Consider the following 13,929-nt stretch of genomic DNA (forward strand, 5'->3'; position numbering starts at 1 on the left):
TTTTTTGTGCATTAAGGCATTTTATTTACAAGTATGTATTATGTTGCTAGAAAAAGAATCCCAGAACTTTCCCTCCTATGTGTTTCACCTTGCCTCTTCAAGGTCCATGATGCCAGCTAAGGTTGTCAGTACAATGAAACAAAACTGACAGGATGAGAGCAGATTATTCTGCCATTTTTTTTCTAGATCTTTGAGTTGCACATCATATCTCAGGCTGATCACTCCACACTTGTTTAACCTGCCTGTGAGGTTCACAACAATTTTCCCTGCTCTCTGATCATCAATGATTTCAAATTTGCCAATGTAAATTGCCTTATCATGCCTCATCATCATGGTTAGAAACAGGAAAGCATGACCTAGTAAGACTCTGGTGGTTACCTCTCTATTCAGTATTGCTGACGCTCCTGAGAGCATCAACCAGAACATTCATATACACGATTATGGCAGCACAAAAAGATGAAGGAAAGACTAGGTACAATTATTTGAAATTATCAATGCTAAGAGGACCTACTGTGAATTCATCTAGTTCTGAAATGGATAGCCCAAACCACAAACAAAATCAAACATGGATGAGAAAACTTGCTATTGCTACGGTGTGCTTTCCTTGAGGAAGACATCTCAGAGCCACAATTAGCAGTCCACACAGTTAACTGTTATATATTGCTGTAATCTTGCCAAAGCTTACATACCTTAATCCTTTTACATGATCCCATAAAAATCAATAACCAATAAGAACCTTATATAAAACCTTAGAATAAGTGATAATGTAATACACACGGCTCATTTACCATATATTTTCTGAAGATAAAAACATAAGCTTTTCATTGTAAATCCATGCCAAATGTTATAGACTAATATACTGTGTGCTACTGAATAAAAAAATTGCTTGTAACGTATTTAAAATGAAATGCCACCAAGAACAATGGACATATCCACAAGACTTGGACTGAAATCCTAACAATTGCTACTGAACACTGTTGTTAGTTTGGGCAACTCATTTATCTTTCCCACGAATGTAAAAAGGAACAACACACCTACCTCTCAAGGCAGTTTGTGAAGATTAAATGAGATAAAATATTCCCAAATCACCTTTATTTATCACTATCCCACGTCTATGAATGAGGAAACCAAGGACTGAAAAATTTAAGTATCTTACCTAAGATAACAAAGTAAATAATATATCTAGAAAGTATTAGCATCTGTTGACCATTTAACGTTTAGCTGGGATCACCAATTTTAAAGGAAATACTTGACAGGATTCATCATACGTTCCAAATAACAAAACAAAATTTCTTTTTCTTTTTTTTAATGAGTTATAAAAAACAAAATTAATGGCTTCATATTAGACACAGAGGCTATCCGGCAATCTTTCAACGTGGTAATCTTAATATAGCCATCTCTGTAGCTGACACTAAGGTTCAACATCAGATTGATTTCCTTTCCTACTCTAGTTCTACTAAATCTAGCCACTAACCTAAAAATATGGCAGCAAAGTATCTCATGTCTATCAAATAATTAATAAATGGGTCAAACAGGATCTAAAAATAAAGTTTTCTTATCATGGATTAGTTTCAGCACTGTTTCAGACACAACGTTTATGTGTATGTATCACATCCGAAATCTGAAAGGCTGAAAGTTTGACTATTTTAACTTAAGAAAACACAGGGAATGAATTTCTTATTAATTCTGGCTCCACTGAGATAGGGAAAGTATTTCTTCAACTTCTATTTGAGAATCTGAATATAGTTTTAAAAGAGAGCACCAATTTAATTCTTCATTAAATTTAAAAAAATCAAGTATTCATAAGGTCATTTCTCAGTAATGAGGCTCTTTGATCTTAGGATATATTTTGACACTATTCACATTTAATTTGGTGGTATTCTGAAGCAGGAGTTTCTAGCTGTCAAGATACTAAATATAACACTGAAATATATCACTTACAAAAACATAAAGAAATGTTACCTCTTTCTATACTTCAATTAGAGGAACACTTTGTTCTCTCATAGCTGTCGTACTATTGAAATAGAAAGGGAATCCACTGTATTTCATTGAAGATGCTAAAAATATACATGACAACCTTATTTGACTTCACTCAAAATTTTAACAACATTTTCAACACTCAAGCCAAATAAGGGAACATAGAGCCAACTGAAAATGCAATATGTGAATTGGCATTCAAAGATAAAGTTCTTTTGTTCAGAAAGAACACCCTTCCTGATCACAGATATTGCTGGGGCTCTGTCAACAATGTTCCCAATGTGCCTTTTTCCAGATTATATCATTGCTCTGAAAGTGATTACTAAAAAAAACAAAGAATTATTTTCTATATAGGCTTTCTACTCTAAACAGACTTAAAAAATAAAAATCTAGTACTTCTTTTTATATTTACATTGCACATATGCCAAGAGCTAATTCAGACTCTGTACACAAGTACTTTCATCAAATGGAAAGCACAATCTCTAATGCAGCCACATATGCAAGTAATTGTTCTGTCACAATGTATGCCATTATACCACTAGCAATATGGAATGCTTAACGGTGGCACATGACAAAGAAATTTTGCCAATAGATCATTCAACGATCGTTCAGAGCATTTTTCCATTCTCTGTGGATGCCTTTAGAAACTTCTTAGGAACAGTATGACTTGTTACCTATCATTGCTGTAAGCAGTGCAACTGTAAAAGATGCCTCTACTCTTTTGATCTCTTCTCTGCATTTAATGACTTATTCTAGAATAATTTCCTTAATTTACTACCATGCTTTGTTGAAAAACAATGCAAAATTTCAGTGGGAACATACTTTGACCATGTTTCATGTCAAATGCACAGAAAACTAGGGACAGATCAATGAAGGATCATTTCAATAATAATCAGAGCATCTGTTTGTACTTTCCCTTTTCGAATAATTTCAAAGTCATCCCAAATATTTACTTCTTCAAGGACATATGGGTGAACATACAGAATTTACTCTGCAATCCAGTATACTGTCCAAGTTGATGAGTTACAGACATCTGTTCTCACTTTCATTATTAATTTTATGTTTCAATAAACCTTTTTGAATGCTTTTTATTTGTTGGGGAGATAAGAACACAATAGTGACAGCAAACCAAGCAAATGATGTAAATTAATAATGTTACTGAAGAAAAGCCAATGAGAACAGTCCTTATGGTGTACATATAACCCTTAAATCTCTAATGATGATGTTAAAAACAGTGATTTGGACAGTCAACCACAGGCAGAAATGGTGAATTCCATTATAAGACAAAACAAACACAGCATATCAAGTATAACAAGACTCCAGATGTGATGGTTTTCAAACCATAGACATGTGAAAAAATTAATCTGTATTTCCTATTTTCACAATGTAGTACAATGGACATAAGCTAACAAAAATAATTATAACATAAAACATTTATACAGCTTTTACTAGGTTTCAGGTACTATTCTAAGTACTTTACATATAAGTCAGAGATGAAATGCCATTTCTCGTTTTAAGATTCTGCCATCACCTAAACTAAATTCAGCCATAAAGATTAAACTCAATATTGTACACACTGTATGTGAACAAACATAAATCTGACTAAAAAACTAAGCTGCCAAATTTTCAAAGAGGTATAAGGTACCAGGTGTGGTGGCTCACGCCTGTAATCCCAGCACTTTGGGAGATAGAGACAGGCAGATCACCTGAGGTCAGGAGCTCGAGACCAGCCTGGCCAACATGGTGAAACCTCGTCTCTACTAAAAATACAAAAATTAGATGGGTGTGGTGGTGGGCACCTGTAATCCCAGCTACTTGGGAGGCTGAGGCAGGAGAATTGCTTGAACTCGGGAGGCAGAGGTTGCAGTGAAACAAGATCGCACCACTGCAATCCAACCTAGATGATAAAAGCGAAACTTCATCTCAAAACAAAAAACTGTAAGGTAATACTGACCACATTTTAAACATGCTTATCCCTTTGATTCTATGATTCCACTTCAGGGAGCTCACTATGTGAATATATTCACAATGGGCCCCTCCTTAAAAAAAAAAAAAAAAAAAAAACACACTCAAAAACAAAAAAACTGGAAATATTCTAAATGTCTATATATAAAAAAGGTGAGATTATGTACTTAGTCACTGAGAGAATTTAGAATAATCTTTAGAATGAATCAAGTCAACATACATCATGGAAAGATGTCCATAATAATATTAAGTGACAAAAGCAAATTGTAGAATTTTTAAGTATAAAAAGACTCTGTCTTAACTTTAAAAACTATATATATGCACATAGTACACACAACAACCAAGGAAGATAAATGTCTTAAGAAAATATGTAGCAAATTTTAAATTGACTACTTCAGAGACGGTTATAAAGAGTGTACAGGATACAACTTATAGGTTTTATTTTATATACTTCTGTATTATGTTTTTACTTTCCAATGTTCAGTAGGATTATTTTATAATAAAAATTTAATAAAGAAAACCTCTGTCCTCCAGCTTCTCCTGCATGAAATACAAATATGCCAAGCAAGCTGGGTGCAGTGGCTCATGCCTGTAATCCCACTTTGGGAGGCCAAGACTGGAGGATCACTTGACCCCAGGCTGTAGTGAGCTGTAATTGTGCCACTGTACTTCAGCCTGGGCGACAGAGTGAGAACCTGTCTCAAACAAACAAACAAAATACAAAGCAAACCAGAATATCCAGTAGGAAGTCTGCTATTTTATAGAGTTCTAAATAATTTTTGATAATAAAAATTAAATCAACAGCATTAGCAGAAATCTAGCACAAAGAAAACACTGTGCTGTGGGCTATGTGCGTAAATAAGGCCTAAGATAGATGACTGTTTCACTTATTTTAATCTTTTTTTTTTTCTTCTTTGAGACGGAGTCTCACTCTGTCACCCAGACTGGAGTGCAATGGCATAATCTTGGCTCACTGCAACCTCCCCCTCCTGGGTCCAAGCAATTCTCCTGCCTCAGCCTCCCGAGTAGCTGGGATTACAGATGCATGCCACCACGCCCGGCTAATTTTTTTATATTTTTAGTACAGATGGGGTTTCATCATGTTGGTCAGGCTGGTCTCAAACTCCTGACCTCAGGTGATCCACCGGGCTCAGCCTCCCAAAGTGCTGGGATTATAGGCGTGAGCCACTGCGCCCTGGCTACTTAATCTTTAAGAAATTTATTATTAAATCAATAAAGAGATATAGATGTAAGAAGCACTTACTCAGCCACAGTGTATAATCCTTTGCAGTCATTAAAAAAGATACAGAAGAACATTTAATGACATGGAATGAGTAATACAGAGAATGCTGAAATAATCCCACATATATGCAGAATGTATTAGAAACATTTCAAATTAATAGAAAAATACCAAAATTAATAAATTGTGTTGAGAAAACTAAATAATCATTTAGAAGAAAGGTGGTTAACCATCCTCAACTCATTATACCAAAAGAAATTCCAGATTGATTACAATGTTGGAATGTAAAATTTGAAATTGTAAAGGGGCTAGATGCAAATCTATCTCTATCATCTTAGAGCTGGTAAAGACTTAAAATCTTAAAATCTGAATAAGACTACATAGCTATACCAATAAGTTTTAAAATAGGCTATTCCTATTAATTTATACAAGTTCTTAATTTTGCTTTAAAATTTCTCTTTATAAACTTCTCTTTATGCATATATAAGTGTGTTTATTCATTTTTCTTCTTTTTTCCTTGGAGACAGGGTCTCGCTCTGTCACCTACGCTAAAGTGCAGTGCTACCAACACAGCTCACTGCAGCCTCAGCCTCTTGGGCTTAAGCCATCTTCCTGCCTCAGCCTCCAAGTAGCTAGGACTATAGGCACATACCACAATGCCTGACTAATTTTTGAATTTTTCGTGGAGATAGGGTCTTGCCAATGTTGCCCAGTCTGGTCTCAAATTCCTGGCTTCTAGCAATCCTCCTGCCTCAGCCTCCCAAAGTGTTGGGATTATAGGGGTGAGCCACCACATCCAGCCCCGTTCATTCTCATTAGTAGATATTATAGGGTACAAATTAATTGAGAGAAACTCGTTCACCTAACAAATGTTTGACACTTAAATCTGGCCAGAGAAACAAAAATAGCACCTTAAAGTCCAGACCAAGTACCTTCAACCTCTTGAGAACTGTCTTCTTCTTCTTTTTTTGGGGGGTGCTGGGGGGGTAGTGGGGGGACGGAGTTTTGCTCTGTCGCCCAGGCTGGAGTGCAGTGGCACGATCTCGGCTCACTGCAACCTCCACCTCCCGGGTTCAAGGGATTCTTCTGCCTCAGCCTCCCAAGTAGCTGGGACTACAGGTGCGTGCCACCACACCCTGCTAATTTTTCTATTTTTAGTAGAGACGGGGTTTCACCATATTGGCAAGGCTGGTCTCAAACTCCTGACCTTGTGATCTGCCCGCCTCGGCCTCCCAAAGTGCTGGGATTACAGACGTGAGCCACCCCACCCAGCTGAAAACTGTCTTCTTAAGTGCTACACAACCAATGCAAATAGAACTTTCTGGGATAATTATAAATGTTCCATATTTACTCTCTCTAAAATGGTAGCTATTAGCCACATGTGGCTACTGAACACTTGAAATGTGACTGATGAAACTGAAAAAATAAATGTTTATTTAAATGAATTTTATTCAATTTAAATTTTGTGGTAGAAAACATGTAACAAGGCCTGGCACGATGGCTCACACCTGTAATCCCAGCACTTTGGAAAGTTAAGGCAGGCGGATCACGAGGTCTAGGAGTTCGAGACCAGCCTGGCCAATATACAAAAATTAGCCAGGCATGGTGGCTTGCGCCCATAGTCCCTGCTACTCGGGAGGCTGAGGCAGAAGAATCAGTTGAACCCAGGAGGCGAAGGTTGCAGTAAGCTGAGATAGTGCCACTGCACTCCAGTCTGGGTGACAGAGCAAGACTCTGTCTCAAAAAAAAAAAAAAAAAAGAAAAAGAAAAAGAAAGAAAAAGAAAAGAAAAAAGAAAACATGTAACAAAATTTACTATCTTAACCACTAAGTATACAGTACTGTTAACTATATGCACATAGTACAACAGATGTCTAGAACTTTTTCTTCTTGCAAAAAACAAACTCTATAACCACTGATTTCCATTTAAATTGTATTTATATACATTTTAATCCTTAGAATGTAAATAGCCACATACATAGCCCATGGCTAACATACTGCACAACACAGGTATAGCAAACTGTTAATTCCCATGTTTTGCTTTTATGAGTTCTATATTTTATATCACTCTAAACTTCTGCAACTCTACTTTCATAGAAGTACAATAATATCCAACAAACAAGACCACAATATAAAACGCTGGAGACAGTGACAGAGACCTATCACTGAATTTCCTACACAGTCTTAAGCATAGCACTTGTTTTCCTCAGCTAATAAAGACTGAAGCTTTAAGCTACTGATTATCACAGTGTGGTCCACAGAGTCCTGGGCATCTCTGTAATGCTATTAAAGCAGGTGTGGGAGGTGAAATATTTTCGTAAAATAAATACTAAGATGTCACAGGCCTGTGCTGATATTTTCAACAATGATAGAAAAGCAAGGTGGATGTAGCTACTAGTAAATCTTAAATATATACTCAGGAAATCTGAGATTTCACTAAGTAAATCTTACATATACTTAGTGAAAACCAAGGCAATGATAGTCATTGTATTCTTCATCCCTAAGCCTTCACGACAAATTAAACTTTTTTTTAAAAAAAAAAAAAGGAAAGAAAAAAAAAAGCCAGTTCTTAAGAATGTCACTTCTTTATTTAACTTTTCAATTTTTCTTATTCTACAGGTAATTGACAAAAGAATGTCACTTCTGTAACAGAATGTATCACTTTTTAAGTTGAAATAATTATAGATTTACACGGAATTTGAGAAATAAAACAGAGCTCCCATATACTCTTCATCTAGTTTCCCTAATGGTAATATCTAACTACAGTACAGTACAACAGCCAGAAAAACCACATCGATACAATCCATCAACCTTATTCAGATTTCCTGAGTTTCACTACAGATGCATGCACATCTGTGTGTATATTTAGTTCTATGCAATTTTATCACATGTATAAATTCATATAACCACCATTACAGTCAAAATACAAAATATTCCTTGACAAGGATCTGTGGTATTACCCTACCCTACCTACCCTATTAATAGCCACAAATATCTTCCTTCTTGCCTCACTCCTCTCCCTTGACAACCACAAATTTATCCTCCATCTCTATAATTTGGTCATTTAAAGAATGTTATATAAATAAAACAGTAAACTAACAAAATTTAGCATGTCTTTTTAGTATACTGTATTGATCAAGTGAGAAGACATAAAACAGTTCAGAGGTAAATTAGTAGTACTAAGGAAAAGCACTTGTAACACCATTAGAGTTATAAACTGAACTAGCCACTTTTTCTTGCAATGCCATTTTACTTGAAAGAAGGATAAACTATGCTTATACACATGGGTATGTGGCAGACATTTTTATTAGTAGATACAATGCACATAGGATTGAGAAGCCCAAAGAGTTCTATTTAAGAGTATAAAGGGATCCTGAAGTATAAAAGTTTGAGAACACTGGCCTATATTGATATTAGAACTAAAAGTTTTCCTCCTTTACCTCTTGCTATTTAATTATTAAACATTTACATTATCCATCCTTAAGTTTTTGTCTTAAAAAAAAATCCAACATTCTCATTCCTAAGGGTTTCGGGACAGTCGTTTACTATTCCATATTTCCACAGGTATGGCACATTATTTTATTGTGACCCTAAAATGGTTTTCCATTCACATTGCTTAGAGGCACCTGCAACCTCATGAGAAATTTTTTCCCCAAGTCTGTATAATTAGTGCACATTTCAAATCCCACTGCAATAAAATGCTTGAAATAAGAGAAGTAGCAAAAATTCTATTGATGCATATCTGCTTCATAAAGCAGGACACTTTTTGCTTCAAAAACATGTGTATCTGCTTCAAAAACACAGGACATCACCAAGATAACAGACTACGATGATCCAGGTCCACATCACCCAATGAAAACACCAAGTGAACAACATACCGACCAAAGTACCTTTGTAAAAACTCAAGAAACCGGTAAGAACCTGGAGAACTGGAGAACAGAAGCCAATAGGATTCACAAAGAATAAACTTTTGTGACTGAACAAACAAGCTCCCTGTCCAGACCAACAAAAAGTAGGGAGGAAGATGGCGGATAGGAGACAGGATTAACGTGCAGCTCCCACTTGGATGGACAGAACAACATGTGGAGATTCACACCATGGACTTTTGTGCCAAGAACCACCATAGGAACATATCGGGAAAACAGAAAGAATCCACAGATCCTCTAAAAGAAGTGGCACGCCGCTGTAAATTCCACAAGACAGGTGAGAAACCGTGAGTTCCCCAAGTGTAAAAGCAGGAAAACCCGCCTCCGAACACACATTCCCACTGAAAAAACTGAAAATCCAGATTACAGGAGAAGGATTTAACCTTACCTAGAACTAAAGCAGATTTAGTGCGGAATATGAAAGTAGAAGCAGTAGCAAGAAGAGCTTTGTAAGCACTCACATTCTCCAGCTAGAGTCCAGGGAAGCTATCCCTGACTATATCTCAGAGGGGCCCTCAGGGAAGGAAGCCGGCAGAATCTGGGAGGGATCACAGTGTGAAAGAAGCTGCCAACTCAACTGTGTAATAATTTCAACCAGACGCAAACTCTCTCAAGCAGTTAAGAATCTGCGGCAGCCAACTAAATGCCCCATCGAGAAAAAGCCACACTCAAAACAATATAGGAAATTTTTTAAAATATTAAAATAAAGAACAATAATTTGTAAGGCAGCCACAGAAAAAATTTTTTTAATGTATATATGTATGTATATTTAGAGGTTGCCCTTGCTCCAATCCCTCCTCATTGAGGCCAAGTTGGGAGGAATCCACCTAATTCTAAGATGCTCCATCATGACAGAAGGAAAAGAGTGGAACTTGTTTGCATCGTTCTGGCTTGTCTGGGGGTGCTGCTCATGGGACTGATTACTGTTTCACCTGATGCAAAGTTCGGATGGGAAGAGTGGCTTAGTTGAGAGCTACAGGGATGTCACCGATCTGCCAGTGCTAGAGGGACAAAAGACAAAGGGCAGAGGAACACAACAGAACATCTAACATGCCACTCTTAGATCAAGGCAGCTAAAAGCACTGATACATCCCAGGAATCTGGGGAAAAGTGTTCACATAGGCCCAGTGAATATACAAACACAGAAAAGGTCAACAAGACCTTAAGCCTTCACACCAGGCTGATACTCCTGATGTTACCCATCATGGAATCAGTCCACAAAGATTAGAACAGCTGGCTATTTAAGTGCTCGACTTTGAACAAATATCATAAAGTATAGAAATAGGCTGGGCACAGTAGCTCATGCCTGTAATCCCAGCACTTTGGGAGGCTGAGGTGGGTGGATCACCTGAGATCAGGAGTTCGAGACCAGCCTGGCCTACATGGTGAAACTCCGTCTCTACTACAAATATAAAAATTAGCTGGGCATGGTGGTGGGTGCCTATAATCCCAGCTACTTGGGAGCTGAGGCAAGAGAATTGCTTGAACCTGGGAGGTGGAGGCTGCAGTGAGCCGAGATCATGCCACTGCACTCCAGCCTGGGTGACAAAGCGAGACTCCATCTCAAAACAAAACAAGTTGTTGTTGTTCTGAAAGAATTATCACCGGTGGAGGCGCTGGCATAATTCAGCTGTTTTCAAGGATGTTGTGATTGTGGTTGTCTGGCCCAGTTCAAAAGTTAAAGACAAGTTCCTGGGGTATTTGGTTTTTATTTCTTTTTAACTCTTATTTTAGGTTCAGGAGTGCATGTGCAGCTTTGTTAAACAGGTAAATTGTGTGTCACAGGGGTTGCGTGTGTACAGATATTTTGTCACTTGGGTAATAAGCACAGTATCTGGTAGGCAATTTTTTGATTCTCACCCTCCTCCCACCATCCATCGTCAAGTAGGCCCCAAGGTCTGTTGTTCCTTTCTTTGCATCCATGTGTACTCAGTGTTTAGCTCCCACTTGTAAGTGACAAGATGCAGTATTTCGTTTTCAGTTCCTGTGTTAGTTCAGTTAGGATAATGGCTTTCAGCTCCAGACAAACACCTTTTTTTTTTTTTTTTTGGTATGGAGTCCTATGCTGTCACCCTGGCTGGAGTGCAGTGGCACAATCTTGGCTCACTGCAACCTCTGTCCCCTGGGTTCAAGCAATTCTCCTGCCCAGCCTCCCTAGTAGCTGGGATAAGAGGCATGCACTACCACACCCGGCTAGTTTTAGTATTTTTAGTAGAGACGGGGTTTTTGCCATGTTGGCCAGGCTGGTCTTGAACTCCTGATCTCAAGTGATCTGCCTGCCTTGGCCTCCCAAAGTGCTGGGATTATAGGCGTGAGCCACCATGCCCAGCCTCTAGACAAAGACTTTTAAACTGTCCTAAATACACTCAATAAGCTAAAGAAAGGTGGTGGGGGGGAGGAGAGACCTAAATGAAATCAGAAAAAAGATACATAAATAGAGAATATTAACAAAGAGATAGAAATAGTTTAAAAAAAAAAGGAGGGGGGGAAGAAAAGAAACAAATTCTGGAGCTGAAAAAATAACTGAATTGAAAAATTCACTAGAAGAGTACAAAAGCAGTCTCTAATAACAGAACAAAGAATTAGTGAACTTAATGAAAAGTTATTTGAAATAATCCAGTCTGAGAAGCAAAAATTAAAAAGAATAAAGAAAAGGTAACAGAACCGAAGGGACTTATGAGACACCATCAAGCAAATCAATATTCACATTACAGAAGAAGAGAGAGGAAAAGGAACAGAAAGATTATTTCAAAAAAAATAATGGGGGAAAACTTCCCACATTTGAAGACATGGATATATGATAGCAAGATACTCAATGAACCCCACATAGGAAAAAAAACCAAAGAGACCCACATGGAAACACATATTCAAAATGTCAAAAGTAAAAGACAGGCTAGGTACAGTGGCTCATGCTTGTAATTGCACCACTTTGGAGGGATCAAGACAGGAGTTCAAGAACAGCCTGGGGAACACAGCAAGAACCTGTCTATACAAAAAACAAATTTTTAAGGTAAAAAACAATGGAAAAGAATTTCGAGAGCAGCAAGATCAAACTGAATCATGACAAGCAAGGGATCCTCAATAAGATTATCAGCAGAAACTTGCAGACCAGAAGGTAGTAGAATGACATTATTCAACATGCTGAAAGGAAAGAAAAAAAAAAAAAAAACCCTATCACATGAGAATTCTATATCCAGCAAAATTTTAATTCAAAAATGAGGGAAGAATTAAGACATTCCCAAATTTTAAATTAATGAAATTAATAAGCTGAGAAAGTTCATTACCATAAGACATGCCCTACAAGAAATGACCAAAGATTCTTCAAATTGAGAAGAAAGGGAACTAGACAGTAACTAAAAACCGTATGAAAATATAAAGTTCTCCAGCAAAGATAAATACATGGACAAATATATAAGCCTCTATTATTAAAATTTTGGTTCATAAGTCCAGTTTTTATTCTTTTACAGGATTTTAACAGACAAAAGCATAAAAATCTAAGGGCACACACTATATAAAGATGCGATTTGTGACATCAATAACAAAGTTGGAGAGGCCTGAGGTGAAAAGAAGTACGGTTTTTGTAACCAACTGATGTTAAATTATTATCACCTTAAAATACATATTTATAACTTCATGATTTTACATGAAATCCCTCTGATAATCATCCCAAACAAATTCTGTAGACTACACATAAAATGAAACAAAAAGAGAATCAAAATGTGTCACTACAAAAACTCAACTAAGCACAACAAAAGGCAGTAAGGGAGGAAATGAGGCAGACTCTTAAAAAAGATACTTGTGGCCAGGTGTGGTGGCTCATACCTGTAATCCCAACACTTTGAGAGGTGGAGGTGGAAGGATTACTTGAGCCCAGGAATTGGAGACCAACTTGGTCAACACTGTGAGACTCAACTCTACCAAAAATAAATAATTAGTTGGGTGTGGTGATGTACTCCTGTAGTCTCAGCTACTCCAGAGGCTGAAGGTCAAGGCTACAGTGAGCCATGATCGCGTCACTGCACTCCAGCATGGGTGACAGTATGAGACCCTGTCTTAAAAAAAAACAATAAAAGGACGGGCACGGTGGCTCATGCCTGTAATCCCAGCACTCTGGGAGCCCGAGATAGGTGGTCAAGAGTTCAAGACCTGAGGTCAGGAGTTCAAGACCAGCCTGACCAATACGGTGAAACTCCATCTCTACTAAAAAATATAAAAATTAGCTGGGCATGGTGGTGTGCACCTGTAGTCCTAGCTACTCGGGGGCCTGAGACAGGAGAATCATTTGAACCCAGGAGGCGGAGGTTGCAGTGAGCCGAGATCACGCCACTGCACTCCAGCCTGGTGACAGAGCGAGACTCTCATTTAAAAAACAAAACAAAACGAAACAAAACAATAAATATTTCCACACCCATGTTCATATCAGCATTATTCACAATAGCTAAAAAGGTAGGAGCAGCCCAAGTGTTCACTGACAGATGAATGGACAAGCAAAATGTGGCACATACATACAAAAAAATATTATTCATCCTTTAAAAAGAAGCGAGTTCTCACACATTACAACATGGATGAGCTTTGAGGACATTATTCTAAATGAAATAAGCCAGTCACAAGAAAACAAATACTGTTTGATTCCACTTCTATGAGGTACCGACACCATGGCAAATCACAGAGAAAGAAAATAAAATTGTGGTTGGCAAGGGATGGGGAGAGGAGATAATGGGGAGTTAGAAGTTTAGTGTCCTTGGCCGGGCGCAGTGGCTCACGCCTGTAATCCCAGCACTTTGGGAGGCCGAGGTGGGTGGATCACGAGGTCAAGAGATCG

At 37.7% G+C, this 13,929-nt stretch overlaps 1 protein-coding gene and 1 pseudogene across 64 annotated transcripts in view; both read right to left on the reverse strand.

Annotated features, from left to right (window-relative positions):
* Positions 1 to 13,929, reverse strand: part of EIF4G3 (eukaryotic translation initiation factor 4 gamma 3) — a 370,606-nt gene that overhangs the window by 197,205 nt on the left and 159,472 nt on the right. The window lies entirely within an intron of this gene.
* Positions 15 to 468, reverse strand: RPS15AP6 (ribosomal protein S15a pseudogene 6; annotated as a pseudogene).

This window comes from Homo sapiens, chromosome 1, assembly GCF_000001405.40.
Source record: "Homo sapiens chromosome 1, GRCh38.p14 Primary Assembly".
Lineage (NCBI taxonomy): Eukaryota > Metazoa > Chordata > Mammalia > Primates > Hominidae > Homo > Homo sapiens.